The sequence below is a fragment of the Homo sapiens genome, chromosome 1 (assembly GCF_000001405.40).
Source record: "Homo sapiens chromosome 1, GRCh38.p14 Primary Assembly".
In the NCBI taxonomy this organism is placed as follows: Eukaryota; Metazoa; Chordata; class Mammalia; order Primates; family Hominidae; genus Homo; species Homo sapiens.
In genome coordinates this window covers 190795196-190812988 of record NC_000001.11, presented here as the reverse complement: position 1 = coordinate 190812988, position 17793 = coordinate 190795196, and the positions used below count along the sequence as shown (strand labels likewise).

General features: G+C 35.5%; 1 long non-coding RNA gene across 1 annotated transcript in view; it reads right to left on the bottom strand.

Moving 5' to 3' along the window:
• Nucleotides 1-11330: 11330 nt before the first annotated feature.
• LINC01720 (long intergenic non-protein coding RNA 1720) overlaps nucleotides 11331-17793 on the bottom strand; it is a 176769-nt gene continuing 170306 nt past the window's right edge. The window contains exon 5 of the long non-coding RNA NR_033922.2: nucleotides 11331-13188. This is a non-coding gene — a long non-coding RNA (long intergenic non-protein coding RNA 1720). The remainder of the gene's footprint in view (nucleotides 13189-17793) is intronic.

The window sequence follows — 17793 nt, the reverse complement described above, 5'->3', positions numbered from 1 at the left end:
AGTAGGAAAAATAATAGCTCTTTCTTGTACATGTGGTAGAATTCAGCTGTAAATTCATCTGGTTGTAAGCATTTCTGATTGGTAGGCTATTTACTACTGATTGAATTTTAGAGTTCATTATTGGTCTGTTCAGGGATTCAATTATTTTCTGGCTCAGTCTTGGGAGGACGTATTTGTCCAGGAATTTATCGATTTCTTCTAGATTTTCTAGCTTGTGTGCATAGAGGTGTTCATAATATTTTCTGATACTTATTTTTATGTTTCTGGGTTCAGTGCTAATATCTTTTTGGTTGTTTGTAATTGTGTTCATATGGATTTTCTCTATAGACCTAGAGGTCTATCTATTATATTATTTTTTTAAATAAATCAGCTCCTGTAATTGTTAATTTTTTGAATGGTTTCTTGTGTCTCTATCTCCTTCAGTTCAGCTCTTATTTGGCTATTTCTCATCATCTGCTAGCTTTGGGATTGGTTTCCTCTTGGTTCCCTAGTTCTTTTAGTTGTGATGCCTTGTTGCCAAATTGGGATCTTTCTAACTTTTTGATGTGGATATTTAGTACCATTAATTTTCCTTTTAACACTGCCTTAGCTGTGTTCCAGAGATTCTGGTATGTTGTATCTTTTTTCTCATTTGTTTCAAAGAATTTCTTGATTTCTGCCTTCATTTTATTATTTACCCAAAAGTTATTCAGGAGCTGGTTATTTACTTTCCATGTAATTATATAATTTTGAATAAACTATTTAGTTTTAATTTCTAATTTTACTGCTGTGGTTTGAGAGAGTGGTTCTTAAGATTTCAGTTCTTTTGCATTTGCTAAAGAGTGTTTTGCATCTAATTATGTGGTCAATTTTAGAATATGTGCCACGTAGTGATGAGAAGAATGTTTGTTGTTTTTGTTTAGAAAGTTCTATAGATGTCTGTTAGGTCCATTTGATCCAGTGCTGAGTAAAGGTGCTGAATATCTTTGTTATTTTTCTGCCTCAATGATCTGTCTCATATTGTCACTGGGGCGTTGAAATCTCTCACTATTATTGTGTGAGAGTGTAAGTCTCTTTAAAAGTCTCTAAGACCTTTATTAATTTGGGTGCTACTGTGTTGGGTGCATGTATATCTTGGATAATTCAGTCTTCTCAATGAATTGAACTGTTTGTCATTACGTAATGCCCTTCTTTGTCTTTTTTGATCTTTGTTGGTTTAAAGTCTATTTCATCTGAAATTTAGAATTGCAGCCCTTTTTTTTTTTCTGTTTTCCATTTGCTTAACAGATTTTTTTCCATGTCTTTATTTTGAGCCTATTGTTGTCACTGCATGTTTGATGGGTCTCTTGAAGACAGTATACCAATGGGTCTTATTTCTGTATCCATCTTGCCACTTTGTGACTTTTAGCTGGGGCATTTAGCCTATTTACATTCATGGTTAGTTTGACATGTGTAGATTTGATCCTGACATCATGATGTTAGCTGGTTATTATGCAGCCTTGTTTGTGTAGTTCCTTTATAGTGTCTGTGTATTTCAGTGTTTTTTTTAGTGGCTGGTAACAGTCTTTTCTTTTCATACTTAGAGCTTCTTTTAGAAGCTCTTGTATTCCCTTAGCATTTGCTTGTCTGAAAAGGAACGCATTCTCTTTTACTTATGAAACTTAGTTTAGCCAGAAATGAGTTCTTGGTTGGAATTGGTTTTCTTTTAGAATGTTGAATATTGACCCCAAATCTCTTCTGGCTTGTAAGGTTTCTGCTGAGAGGTCTGCTATTGGTCTAATGGGCTTCCCTGTGAAGGTGGCCTGACCCTTCTCTCTAGCTGCCTTTAACTTTTTTTTTTTTTTTGTTTCAACCTTGGAGAATCTGATGATTATGTGTCTTAGGGTGATCTGCTTGTGAATCATCTTACTGGGGTTCTCTGCATTTCCTGAATTTGAATGTTGGCCCCTGTAGCTAGGTTGGAGTTCTCATGGATAATATCCTGAAATATGTTCTCCAAGTTGCTAAAACTCTCCCAATCTCTTTCAGGGACACCAGAGGGCCATAAATTTGGTCTCTTTACATAATCACATATTTCTTGGAGGTTTTGTTTGTTCCTTTTTATTCTTTTTTCTCCATTCTCATCTGTCTTATTTGAGAAAGCCAGTCTTCAAGCTTCGAAATTCTTTCCTCTGGTTGCTCTGTTCTGCTTTTAATACTTGTGATTGTATTATGAAATTCTTGTAGTGTATTGTCATGTATTTTTCAGCTCTATCAGGTTGGCTACATGCTTTTCTATACGGTCTATTTTGTCTGTCAGCTCCTGTGTCATTTTATTTTTCAATGCACTCCTGCATCTCAATGATCTTCAGCCTGTCTATATTGTGAATTATATTTCTTTCATTTCTGCCATCTCAGCCAAGTTCAGAACCATTTCTGGAGAGGTAGCACAGGCATTTGGAGGAAAGAAGGCACACTGGCTTTTTGAATTGTCAGTTGTTGTGTGGGTTCTTTTTCATCTTGGTGAGCTGATGTTTCTTCATTATTTGAAGTTGCTAACCTTTGGATTTTTATTTTATCCTATTTCATGACCTTGACTGTTTGATTGTGGTAAAAGGTAGGTTGACCTGAAGAGCTTTGTATCTTGAAGATTTTACGGGGCCAATGCTCAGCCCCCAACTCCTGGACTCCATTCTCTAACTCTGAGAAACTTGTATCAGGCCACGACTTTTTCCTCTGACTCCTCTAAGTTAAAAATCCAAGGCACTTGGGTGCAGAGGAGTTTTGGGACCAGTAGTAACTACACTCTGAAGGTTGCTGTCAGCCCATCAGAGTAATGCATTTCATAGTGCGATGGCAGGAGGATCCACCCTCTTTTGCACATGCCTGATGCAGTGGCAGTGGCAGTGGCAACACAATAGGGTGTACATGTTGGCTGCAGCAGGGTGCTAGTAGGTGTCAGCATGCCTGCCTCTGTGCTGGTTTTCACCACAGTGGTGGAGGTAGCACAGGTTGGGGGATAAGGAGAAGAGGGCCTGCATGGTTGCACTAGTGATGGTGATATTAGGACAGAGGTGGGGTGCTGATGGGTTCAAGACTCTGTACACTCTCAGTGTGCCATAGGCAGGCTAGGTGGGTCATGATGAGGAAGGGTCCGCTGTTCTCTATGCCTAGTTTCATTCCCTGTATTTTTGGCACAAAGACTGGGTGCTGGCAGAAGTGGGGCTTGCTGGCTCTGTATCTGTCAAGACTTTGATTGCAATGGTGGTCTGGCAGCGGGAAGAGGAGCGGAGTGCATTCCCACCACAGCAGTGGCAGGGCAGGTTGCTAGCACACATGTGCACTGATGGGGCAAGAAAGGCAAAACCTGCCATACACACATGTACTGGAAAAGTGATGTTGGGGGTGGCTGTGGGACTGGAGGAAGCTGCAGTGTTATCAAGGAGCCAGTGGTCTAGTGGATGGTCGGAGCAACCCCGCTGGAGCTCTCTGCTGGTCAGGCATGGTCCTCCAGAGCAGTAGCTATGATGCAGGCCCCCAGGGTAACCAAGGCTGTCCTGCAAGTAGGTGGGGCCAGGAGACATCAGCAGCCCACGGGGTTCTCAGGTCAGACCAGCCAGTCTGATGGGCAAGACCACTTTGCAGAGTTCAGGTCCACCAGTTCCCCTAGGGCTAAAATATCCTTCAGGAGCAAATTGAGCCCAGGGGTATGAGTATCCCTGCCCATGCTCCACTATAGAAGCTCTCTCACCAAATCATGTAGGCTCATCATCAGCTAGTGTACTGCCCATACCACTTTAAGCAGCTCTCCCTGTCAACTTCAGTGTCTGTGGTGGTCAAGGGGTTTCCTCCTTCTGCGATTCTAGAAGCCCATGATGAGAGCAGGTTGCTCTTGCCAGTTCAACTCACCTATTCCCCCGTAGTCAGGAGTAAGGAATGAGTTCTGGTGCCAGGCAGCCCCATGAAGGGTTCCCAGCTTCCTCCTCCTTCAGCCCAGGTTCTATGTCTTCCCCTCAGTACCATCCTTCTGAAGTTGTGTTACGAGTGCCCTAGTCATCTCAGTCCCTTACCAGCAAGTGAGATTTGGGCACAACTGGGGCCTGGATTGCCGATTCCTACTAAAATTTTTAAGCAAATTTTCTTGTTTTCTAAGAAACCTAGTTATATGCCACCAAGCTGTCAGGAATCTTATGATCTTTAACCATATATATTTTGTCTTATAGCTAATGTAATAAAGATATTTAAATACTTTCTCTGTCCATATAATGACCTCAGAATATTGGGTTTTTTGAACTAGCTTATTCAGAAGGTTCTTCTCTTGTACTAGTGTGCAATAGGACTTTGGCTTATGTTTATCATTTAATTTTCTTAAAAAAATGTAATACTCAAGGAAACGAAAGTGTAAGGCATCTAATTCTATACAGAAGGGCACATTGGTGATTTAAAAAGTAGTGAGTAAAATAATACCCAAGAGGAAAGAAAGTGTTAAAAAATTAACTGATTATTGAAAATGTAAATACCTTCTTGAAAAGAGACACATTTCCATGCTCTAGAAATAAAGAAAAGAAAAAACTAATCAGTAGCACATTTGGGGAAACATTATAGATACCCTGAAGAAAAATAAGGGTGGTTGGACAAATTAAATTTGTTGTGGAGAACGTGATTTTGGAAAATATTACAATAACGTTTTGTCTAAGAAGAAGTCGATTTTAATTTGATTGATTGAAATGTCTCTAGTTGCAGATGTGTGTGTATCCAATAAAAAAATATTCAATTTTGTGTGGAGGGTAAGAGAGGATGATGCAATAATACTGTCAACTGCTTATTATGAAAGATAAAATTTTACAGAAAAACAAACTTATCATGATATATATTTGGCACAATACAGGAGAAAAAAATTTGAAAGAAAAAAAAGCAATTAGTATTTCCTCACCCATGCTATACTGTTAAGTCATTGGTCATAATGTCATCTTTAAAAATCAAAACAGATAGTTAAATATTTCTCCCAAATGGCTAGATTTCTAGTGAAATTACTGCTTTATGATTAAGAGAACCTTGAGTTCTATTTGAAACAGAAGAATGCTCTATGTATTCAAAGATTAACAGAATTGTGTGAGCATGTGAATGAGCATTTAGATAAGAGTAGATGTTTAAACACAAAAACTAAAATATTTGTAAGTACATATTTAAGGTCATTTGGAAAAAATGCCAGAAATGGGTACTGTATTTTTTACAACGATCTCAATTGACCACAGAAGAAAACATATGGTAATGATGGAGGTTGTTAGTTATTAATGCTAAATATAACCCATCATTTACCATGTATTTAATAGTCCCATAAAATTGGCTCAAAACTTCATCCTGAGCATGTGAGGAAATCCAGTGCCTCTCTCTTTATCATTCAATTTCTTGGCAAGTGGGAAACATTACTTGGCTATTTCTCACTTCATTTTCTTGGTTTCTCTAAATCCAATCCAGTTATACCATGATAACTGAAACTTTACTCTTAATCACAGTATTCTGATACAAATGTTCAATAGAATGTATGATCTCAATTTTTCTTAAAAAGAACTCAAAAGAGTTACAACTCAACAAAGCAGAGGAACAGAACCCCTGACCGTACCTGTAGGAGTTTTACTGATACTCATTTTTATCACTTGGCTGTGCCCTTCCAACCTTTTGCTCTTCCCTTTTCTTTAAATTGGAATTAACTTTTGATCTGTATTTTCTTAGCATTCACTGAAATTCTTTAAGATGACCATTATGGATCCTTTGTCAGTAATCTTATAGATCTCCATTTCATCTAGGTACTTTGTTGGAGCTTCATTAGTTTATTTTGTTGTTGTCATATTACCCTAATTTTGAAAAATAATCCTTGTTTATTTATGTTGAGGAGGTAGCCACTTCTTCCATTTTTTGCAAGTGTCTTTTGGAGGCGATAAACCTTTACTATTTAGTCTAGCCTGGGATCATGGATGGGCTGGCTGGTAGCAAGTCCGGACAGAAGACCCTACTACTGAGTCCTCTAGTTAGACTGGGTTGCTTGTGCGCTCTGAGGTCAAATGGTGCTATTGACTGTGCTTCACACTCTAGTGAGACCAGTAGCTGGACTCTGCCATCATGTGGTGCTGCTGGCTAGGCTCTGTAATTGTCTTTAATTCAGCAGAGCTGTAAGTTATTTCCTCTAGCTAGATAATATTTTTATTTAAAATCTGTATTTGAGCAGAGCTATGTGCTGGGCATCAGGGTGGGTGAAGTCTCTGGGGTTGCTTCTCAGCCACACGGGGGTGAGTAAAAATCAATGGCTATGCTCCTTGCTATGCATGGTGTTGGGCTTGCTTCCTAGCCTGAGGTAGACCTAAGCAGAGCAGCAAAGTTTGTCAGAGTCACCACTCAGCAGCTAGGGTTGGGTGGGACAAAATTCTCCCTCCACGGGTAATTGTTGACCTGCAGTTGCCAGCCAGTCTGGGGAAGATTTAAAGGGAGACTTAGTTGGTTTACTTATTTTTGTCTGGGTTTGGGCAGGGTAAATGCTCACTCTGCAGGTAATCACTGACCTGCAGTTGCTGCTCAACCTGGGGAATAGCTGGAAGATGGTTACAGATTGATGCCTGAAAAACCTGTGGACTATGCTTCCTGTAGTATGATGTTGGCTAGTTTCTCTGGTGTGGAACCTCTGGTGGTTCAAGTGCAGAGAAATTGCCATGATCTGCACACTGGTCACTGTGAACTGCACCTTCATTTTTGGTTCTAACCGATCCACAGTTAATCTAACCCTGTCAGTATCCCAATGTTTCCTGTGGGATGAGACAGGAGTGAAGTGTTCTGTGAAGGGTCCCAGAATGGTGGGGAAGCTGATGTCCATTTCCAACATACTTTTCCCACTGTACAAACCATGGATCCAGGCTAATTTTCTGTGTGTGGTTCAATGCCAATTTGTGAGAGGGGCTGTGCAATCAAAGAAATCCATTTCTCTTGCCATTGGATCTAAGAGGGAGTGAAGCCTGGGGACTCCTATCCTGCCCTCTTGCTTATGTCATGCCCCATTTCTTTTAACTTTAAATGAATGGCAAATTATTTATTTAAAAAATGTTTGACATCACTGAATTAAGATAATACAGTATGTGGAGCATTCTCTTTGTCTTTCTTTCTGAAGCCAACCCAAATAACAAGGTGATTGACAAAATATTTTATATGTAATTAAGGAACATCTATACTCTTTGAATACAACATGTAAAGCTTGGCTTATAGTTTGGGTAAAATCGGATTGGGATAAGGTATATACTTACAAGTTCATTAGGCTTTGGAAAGAGCCAAAAGCATTCAGACTTTGGAAAGAGAAAGGGCAAAAGTTATCAAAGCAGATGGTTAACTCTTAGGTGTAAAACCAATAAGCCCTTATTTTGGAAGAAGATCAATATTTGACACATTAGTGGGAGAGAGAATGTGCTTGAATCTTGATTATGTAGTGACAAAACCATCTTTGAAAATAAAAAAAAGATAAATATACAGTGCCAGGCAAAATATGTCACAAAAACTCAATAATTGTTTTCTGCCAGAAAACAGAAAAAGGAAAGACTAAATTAAGAACACAAATTTTATACGATATGGAGTTTACTGAGCCTAAAAAATACCTTGCAAGATTGCCTGTGAGTTATATCTGCAGATATGGCATTTGATGAGAAAGTATCCTATGGATTACAGCTCAACCCTAATGCATGCCCAATATAAACAGATAATGAATTCACAATATTTCACAAATAACTTGCACATAAATAACTTATAATGTGGTTAAGAATCACAACAGACACTGGGCAAATCCAAAAATGCATGAAGAATAAAAATAAAGGGAAAATAATTAGACTAAGAAAAGGCAAAAGAAGAACATAAAAATAATGAATACATCACAGTGCAATACAGCGTTTTCCATAAAATTTAAAAAATACTCAAATGAAATCTGGCTTTTCTGATATACTGCTAATGTCAAAAGATCAAAGGACTCAGAAACAAAATGCTGTCAGGAACAGATAAACAGCAAACTGGCAAGGATTGGTGGGAAAATAGAAACACAAAAAGAAAATGAGGTTTGCATCATAAGTAGTAAAAAAAAACATAGGCTGCTCAAAATGTGGCAGGGTCATTGAGGACAGTCTCATAAAAATTGATCACAGTTACATTAAAGATAAAAAATAAAGAACGATTTTACTTTTTATGAACTACTCAAAAGAGAGATCCAACCTATTTAGTGTTGCTCTTAGAAATGAAAATGGCCTCACACCTGTAATCTCAGCACTTTGAGAGGCCGAATAAACATCTAAACATGCACGTGATGAATTTACCTGAGCCTAGCAGTTCCCTAAGTTGTCCGTATAAAATGTACAGATATATAGTTATAGTAAAGGCTATATCTATTTATAGTAATTTTAAGAGGAATAATATGTATACGTTTTCTAAATTGGTTGGCATGTGTAATTTTTGAATGAGCTATTGCAGCTAGAAAGAGAAAATCTATAATGGAGTCATTTGAGTGTATGATAGCCACCTTCCTATATTAAAACTTCAAAATAATGAGTGATTTATGAAGATTCTAGAGGAACACCATCTGTAGATTTGAGATGTCACTTATGCTTTTTTGTCCATTAGATTTGTTGCCCTCTTTTGCACCTAAATACATCATTTTCCTTCTTTATCTCAACCTTCCATAAAAAATCATGATTTTTATCACCATTTGAAGCATTACACTATGGGAAATATCCTACAAAAGTTATTTTAAGAAAACTACCACATTTTCTTAATCCAGTCTATCATTGTTGGACATTTGGGTTGGTTCCAAGTCTTTGCTATTGTGAATAATGCAGCAATAAACATACGTGTGCATGTGTCTTTATAGCAGCATGATTTATAGTCCTTTGGGTATATACCCAGTAATGGGATGGCTGGGTCAAATGGTATTTCTAGTTCTAGATCCCTGAGGAATCTCCACACTGACTTCCACAAAGGTTAAGAAAATGTGGCACATTTACACCATGGAATACTATGCAGCCATAAAAAATGATGAGTTCATGTCCTTTGTAGGGACATGGATGAAATTGGAAATCATCATTCTCAGTAAACTATGGCAAGAACAAAAAACCAAACACCGCATATTCTCACTCATAGGTGGGAATTGAACAATGAGATCACATGGACACAGGAAGGGGAATATCACACTCTGGGGACTGTGGTGGGGTGGGGGGAGGGGGGAGGGATAGCATTGGGAGATATACCTAATGCTAGATGACGAGTTGGTGGGTGCAGCGCACCAGCATGGCACATGTATACATATGTAACTAACCTGCACAATGTGCACATGTACCCTAAAACTTAAAGTATAATAAATAAATAAATAAATTAATTAATTAAAAAAAAGAAAACTACCAAATTTACTTAAAATTTTTATTGGAAAAAATAATGTTGCAATAGATATAAATGAAGTTTTGCTCAGCATAGAAAGGCTTAAGTAGAAATATTGTTTGATCAATTGAAGTTCACATGTATTTACACAAATTATAGCTAGGAAATTATTTTTCTCTTTTATTACTTTAAAACTTGCTTTATCCATATGAAAGCAATTAGTTTGATCAAGATATATAAGTAAAATCTGGCTCTGTTCATATTTTGTTTTTCTAAGGTAGCATATTTTTAAAATGCAAAATGTGTTGCTCATGGGCTAGACATACATAACTTTATCCTATCACGGATATTACTGTATTTGTTATCTTTTTTTGGTTTTGGTTTTATTTAATTATCCTTAGTAAGTGAATTCTGTAATTTCTATCATTATCTTAAATTAATTTTTGAAATTGTAAATATATGTGTGTAGGGGTATAATGCATGCGTTTTTACTTTCCCAATAAAGAGAAAAATAATAACAACTGAATTTGCTTTTCATTGTAATATTAGCTTCCACCATCATTTGTAATATACCTCTGCAGGATTTGGAGAGAGCACTTTAAAATTTTATAAACTGAAGGTTTCTATTTAGTCTATTTAGTAGGTTCTCTGGAAGTAAAAATAAAAAAAAAATTCTTACATTTGAGCTTGTGAGATTCCCAGCAAAATTTCATTAGCTGTTTGTAATTCTGGAATAAGAGACATGTAATTATTAATAACTTTCATGCAGACTTGTAACATTTGTGAATACAGTCAGAAATGAATAAAAATTATTTAGTTAAATAACCTGAAATACTTTTTAATAAAAACAACTCTTCACAAAAATTATAACTCAAAGTCAATATGTTATCTTGTCCCTATTTTCTTAAAAAAGTTATTCTTGAAAATTCTACTATTTTATATTTTATTTATTTTTATTGATATCTAATATTTGCACATATTTATGGGATACATGTGATATTTTGTTACATGCGTAGACTGTGTAATGATCAAGTCAAGACATTTAGAGTATCCTTTCTCTAATGATTTAGACTATCTAAGAAATGATTTAGAGTATCATTTCTATACGGTGGGAACATTGCAAGTCCTCTTTTCTGGGTATTTTGAAAGATTTAGTACATTACTGTTAACTGTAGTCGTCCTACTCTGCTGGTAAGCCTTAGCACTTACTCCTTCTATTTAACTGTATGTGTTACCTATTAACCAATCTGAAAGGCATCTCCTATTATTTGGCTACTCCTATTATTTGGGGAATAGGCTTCATCCAGAGCAGATGCAGCAGAATGCCTAGGAGTAGAATACACGGTCAGTATGTGGAGAGCTGGATGCTTTCCTCCTTTTTGTGAAGAGCCACTTTGCCTTTACATCATTCATTACCAGTGGAGTTTGAATCATTTGGTTAAGTTTCCCAAAGTTAACATGTGTTTATGCTTGACTGCTTGAGATTTAGAAGTAACAACCCCTAACTGAAATTGCAAACATCTATCCTTAGCCTTGTCACTAAGGTTAATGATGACATGAGAATATGAAGTATCCAGTTTTAAGAAGATGGAAATTCAGGATATGTTTATTTTGTACTGACTTGTTCAGAAGTATATTTTACAGAAGGCTTTGTCTCACTTTTTATTGTTTTAGGGAAAAACTATATGAATTGCTTTAGTTTGAACACACAATAATGTTTATCTATTAGGGTTTATTTTGAAAAGTTGAGTCAGGTTAAATAACAGCCAATAACTTTTAGAATGAGATAATAGAGATAGTTGTTTCTGATCAGAGAAAATTTCTTCATTATTCACATTTTAAGATTCTTTATTAATAACTGTCTTTGACTTAAATTTAACTAGAAATGTGATGTAATCTGCCAAAACTATATTAGCATCAACAGCATGAATTTTCATAAGCCAAATAGGAGGCTAGGGGACAGTGAATCAAGCTTCTTATAGAAAGCAATTTTGAATCTTTAATTAATATGTATAGTAAGCAATTATACACATTATACAAACATATGTGAGAGCATCATAGTAACAGTTTTGCATGTGCAAGAATTCCAAAGGTTTTGTTTTCATATACTTTAGCCAAACAAGTTAATTGAAGGTGAATTATAACAAATAAGGAAGAAAATTGCAAACAAAAAATATAGAAGAGAAACTCTAATCCATGAGTTCAAGGAAAATAAGTAACAGGAAAAGATATGCATTGCAGCAGGCATATAGAAAACATTCATTCTGAAATGAATAAAAAGCAACAATTAGAGTGCTTTGACAAACAGGGAGGTTCTATGCACTAGATGATAAGCATATGGTAAAAGTGGATTAACCTTAGGTCGAGGAGAAAACTATTAGAACTCATGAAGGGAAAAATAATAAACTATGAAATAAAATATACCCCAAATATAAAGCAAAATATAATGTGGCATTAGATTGACCAATTTTTTTTTTGAGACAGGTTATCACTCTGTTGTTCAAGGTGAAGTACAGTAGAGCAATCATGACTCATTATAGCTTCAACTTCCTGGGCTCAGTTGATTTTTCCACCTCAATCTCCTGAGTAGCTGGAACTACAAGCATGCACCACCATGCCGAGCTAGGCTAATTTTTGTAATTTTTGTAGAAACGGGGTTTAGTCATGTTGCCCAGACTGGTCTTGAATTCCTGGGCTCAAGTAATCTACCTGCCTCAGCCTCCCAAAGTGCTGGGATTACAGGTGTGAGCCACCAGGCCCAGGTAGATTGGACAATTAATTATATACCAGTCAAGTTATTTCTGCCAGTATTGATATTAACATCACTGTCTTTTAAGATACATGGAGGTTTTACATGGTATACATAGAGAAGGAATTATAATATAAACACACAATCTGGATATTTGTGAAGTCAGAATACTGTTGTCTGTTGCTTATAATATTTTTAGTTACACTGTTGTTGGAAAATACTGATGGTTGATTTTTAATTCTACAACTGGGCTTTAGAATTTTCTTTGGTATGGCTTCCATATTTCTTGAAAATTTCACTGCCTGCCATAATTATATTAGCTCATTCTTCTAAAGAAATATTAGCTTTCTTTCTAGCCACTTTTGTTACTATCTTAGAGCTTTTGTGCCAGCTACTTGTTTAGTGTTTAATATTTTTCCTAGATTTGGCATGGCTTTCTTCTTCCTTCCAATCAAGCTTTAAGTTAAAGCATTCTTATACAGACTTTCTCTAACAACTAGATCTAAAGCAGAGATCCTTTTTTTCCATTATGGGGAGTGTAAGTTTTGTGCGGATATAAGCTTTGTATGGATATTTTTCATATCTGCTGGGTAAATATCTGGGAGTTGAATCACTGACTGTTTATAAGTGTATCTTTAACTTAATAGGAAACTGCTGAACTATTTATTTCCCAGTTGATTGTAGCATTTTATATTCCCACCAACAATGAATGAGAGGTCCAGTTGATCCACACTTTTAACAACCCTGGGTATTAGCAAACTTTGTAATTTTAGCCATCTTAACAACTATGTGATGGTGTATTCTTATGGTTTAGTTTGTATTTCTCAAATGATTAACAATGTTGGGTATATTTCCACATGCTTATGCATCACACACACATACACACACACACACACACACACACACACACCATATTTGGTGAAATGCTGCTCACATTTTTGCACATTTCTTTTTAATCAGGTTGATTATCTTACAAATGAGTTCAAAAATTAGTTATATATATAGGATACACAACCTTTTCCTGACACATGTTTTGCAAATATTTTCTTCCAGTCTGTTTCTGGTCTTTCCGTGTTTGTATAATTGACCTAAAAAAGAAATTTGTTCATTTTAGCATTTGTAGATGTCAAGTATCAATATTACTCTTTCATTGTTTCTACTTTTGTGTCGTATCTGAAGCATTTGCAAATATTTTCTCATATTTTCTTCATGAAGTTTTAGAGTTTTAGTTTTTTATTTAGATCTTTGATCCATTTTTAGTTATTTTTTGTGAATGTTAAGAGGAAAAAAATTATGGTTTACTTTTTTTCCTACTGTTTTTCTACTACCATTTATGCATATTAGGCGGTCTTTTTGCAAAAATAAAGCAACTTCCTTTTCTGTTTAAACTAGTTTGAATGGATTCTGCTGCCTTCAACTAGGAAGTCAGCCTAATAGATATGTTTTATTGTAAAGTGTAAAGAGATGAAGCAGAGGAGGAAGACAAAGCATCCAAGTCAGAAGCCTTTAATAAGATGGTTTAACTTCATCCTGAAGAAAGGGAGCCAATGAAGAATTTTAGGACAAGAAGATACATGGTTATATTTATACTTTAATATGTACTCTAACTTCAGTGAGCAGGAACAATACATATGGCTTGCCGCTATCTCATTTATAGTACTAACCATTTATTTGTCACATAAACACAACAAAGAAATACAAAAGCATTCAAAGAGCAGTTGAAGAACTGATGGTTATAAATGTATCCTCTTATTCTGAGCATTAATCATTGTCTTGTTACTATGCTAAATACTCAGTAACTTAGTTCATGTGCTCAAGTCCTATGTCTTCTAGGTGGTAGAGCTGAAGAGGATAAATGAAGATTGCTTTACTAGAGAAAGTAACAGTTAACCACTTATGTGTTCATTATTGGTAAAATTTTACTTTAATAAAGGATAAACTGCTAAATATAGGCCTTATACTATATATGCATGTGAGTAAGTAAACACTCACAGCAAACGTTTGGTATTTGTATAAGCATACTATTTGGAATCAGAGCCAGAGAGTAAACAATAATATTGTTAAATGCAGACAACATCATTCCAAATTTCCATAGTGGATAATTACAAACCTATCTCTGATGTTAGTCAATGTTTTGACAAAAATAATAAGAGTAACAGAGAGGGAAAGAAAGAGAGAAATAACGAAAGAACAAAAATAAACAGTAGGAGGATGAAGAGTTTTCCTTAACTCTAATTGGAAAACCAAGTTAAAAAAAATGTAACTTAAGACATATTCCCAATTTACTTTCTGAGAATCATTGGCATACTTGCAAAAGAGGACTAATTATTTAATTTTAGGCAGATAGATAAGTAGATGGAATATGGTACTGTTCAAATATAAAATCACTAATTGTTGTAGAACATTCTGAAGATGTTTTACACAGTATAAGTTGATTATCATGAATTAGGATGTGTGCTCATCAAGCAAGGATAAGAGCTAAAATATTATTTGATCTATCAAAAGTTTTAGGGAAAGCTTTGAAGACTTATTACATTAATTATCATTTTATCATATGCTAATCACACTAAGTTTGATTCTATATTTTCTTTTACAATGTATGTTTTTTAATTATATCAAGTGAATTCAACAGATTTAACAGAAAGGTCAACTCGGTAGATTTTGAGTTTTCAATAGCTCACTGTTATTTAAAAAAGAAAGAATATAGTTTTAAAAATTCATACTTGTAAGGGTTTGAAATGGCATATTAATTAAAGAATATATCTGAAGAGAAAATAAGTGTAAATTATACCAAATTAATTTTTTTTGTTATTTTGTTCAGAATGATATGTAACCCTAAAACATCACTTTATTACTTGATTATCTTACTTCTTGTTCATTTTCTTTTTTTTCATTACTTTTCCTCAGAATAGTTTTTATAGGGGTTTCATTTTTACTCCTTGGTTGATTTCACATATTTCTTATATATATCTTCATTCATTAATCCATCTAGTTTTTAACGGTTACTGAGTGTCACCTTGATCAGCCAACTCTATTCATAACAAGATTTGTTGACAAGTGCTGGATTTTCTGCAAGAGCTTCTTTAATTTTGGTTGCTTCTCCTGATAGAAGAGAACAAAGTTCAGTAGCAGCTTTCACCCTTTCCAATGTCCAAAATCCATTTTATTTGTTTAATTTTGTCTCAATTTCAGGCAGACTGTAATAAACATCTCCCAAATTTTCCTGTGCAAACCTTCCAACTGTTCCAATACCATTTTCAGTTGTTACCTATTCACATTGGTCTGCAAATTTATATACTGAGAGCTGAGCCAGGCCATGTACATAGTCCAGAAATCACTTACCTCAGCCTCCAGGGCCACAGTGGGCAGGACAGGGCCAAAGTGGGCAGGACAGTCCCACAGGGTTCCAGCTACTACCAGTGTCTGGTTCTCCTGGGTGCCAAGGGTAGTTGTTCAGCGCCTGGGCAGCCCCAGGTCAGGAGGGCCCCAGGCTGGAGTGAACCAGATCATGGTTCTTGTCCATTTTCTAATTAAAATATGATCTGTCAGTTTTGAGCAGGAATGGAATTTAATGGGACTTTGAGATTTAGAAAAATATTAGAAGAACTGAGAAATCAAAGTTCAGAAAGTTCACCATTACTATCTCAACCAAGAGTTTAGAAGCATGTTGTTACCAACAATGCCGTGAGAAACTGCTACATTTCTTCATTAAAAAACAAAACAAAACAAAACAAAAAAAACAACTTTTATTTTACGTTCAGGGGTAAATGTGTAGGTTTGTCATATAAATAAATTGTGTGTCACAGGGGTTTGGTGTACAGATAGTTTTGTCACCCAAGTAATAAACATAGTACTCGATAGGTAGTATTTTGATTCTCCCCCTCCTCCCAACCCCGACCTTCAAGTAGGCCTTGGTGTCTGTTTTTCCCTTCATTGTGTCCATATGCATTCAAAGTTTAGCTGCCATTTACAAATAAAAACATTTGGTATTTGATTTTCTGATCCTGTTTTAGTTTGCTTAGAATAATGGCCTCCAGCTTCATCCATGTTGCTGCAAAAGATAAGATCTCATTATTTTTTATGGCTGCATAGTCTTCTATGATATATATGTACCACATTTTCTTTATTCAGTCTATCGTTGACAGCCATTTAGGCTGTTTCCATATCTTTGCTATTGTGAACAGTGTTGCAATGAACATACATATCCATGTATCTTTATGGTATACTGATTTATATTTCTTTGGGTTTATACCCAATAATCAGATTGCTGGGTTGAGTATTTCTGCATTTGGGTTCTTTGAGAAATCACTAAACTGCTTTCCACAAAGGCTGAACTAATTTACATTTCCACCAGCTGTGTAGAAGCGGTCTCTTTTCTCCACAACCTTGCCAGCATTTATTTTTTGACCTTTTAATAATAGCCATTCTGACTGGTGTAAGATGGTATCTCATTGTGGTTTTGCTTTGCATGTCTCTAATTATCAGTGATGTTGAGCATTTTTTTTTGTTTACTTGTTAGGCGTGTCTATGTCTTCTTTTGAAAAATCTCTGTCCATGTCCTTTGCCCACTTTTTAATGGGGTTGTTTGTTTTTTGCTTGTTAAGTTCCTTATAGAGTCTAGATATTACAACTTTGTCATCTGCATAGCTTGCAAATGTTCTTTCCCATTCCGTAGGTTCTATGAAGAAGCTTTCTAAATGTTCAGGGAGAAATTAGGCAATGACAACATGGGTGTATCTCCACAGCTCGCCAGGAAGCTTGTGTCTGATCACAACTACCTCTGAAAAATAATGGCTTATCCATTTTTTTCTACCTTCCGAATCCTGCATTAGTGCCTTTCACTGGCAAACTCTGACCTGAACCATGTTGGGAAGGATATGGATATGTAGTTCATGCCCTCGTCTTGCTGATGAAGAAGAGATCTTAAAAAGGTGTGGGTAAAAGAATGTGGTATTGGTTGAAAATGGAAGATTTAAATATTAACTTTTATTTCTGCTTCTAATTAATGGATAATTGAACTAAGTTAACCTGCCTAGAAAAATAATTAAGTAATACTATAAGTAAATATTAAAAACATTATTAACAGAATATTTCAATGGTTAATAATGGTAGTAAAATAGATTATTAAACTATTTTAAACATTTTAATACACAAATGAAATTATCTTAAATTAAAATTTGTCATCTGATAATATTCAAATTATACTAAAAAGCCATTTGTCCTACTTTCTTACACTTATCTCCATTTATATCCTAAACTTAAGTGCTGCCAGTACCAGAATTGCCCTGTTCATATGTTTGCTCATGTTAGTCCTCTGTGTAGATTAGCCTTACAGCTTAATCTCCGAATTTCAAAGTTCTACATTTTATTGTTCTTGACTGCCCTGAGGATGGTGAGAATCTTGTTCACTTGCTGATTCTGTGACACTTGAGAGGCCTTCTGGGAATTTCGAAGAGCAAATTCAAATTGTAGACTTTTCAATTGAGTCTATATAAATAAGTCTTTATCCTTGGTGCACAACCCCCAGTTAGTATTTATTGAATATTTATTACATCTTAGCCATTCTTAGTTGAACTAATAATTCTTGCCACCTGAATATATCAGCTTGAAGACAACAAGTCAGGGGTTAAATCTAAAATGGTTTTGGTGCATGGCCCTAGACTAGAAGACTACATGATTGCAATAAGGAATGG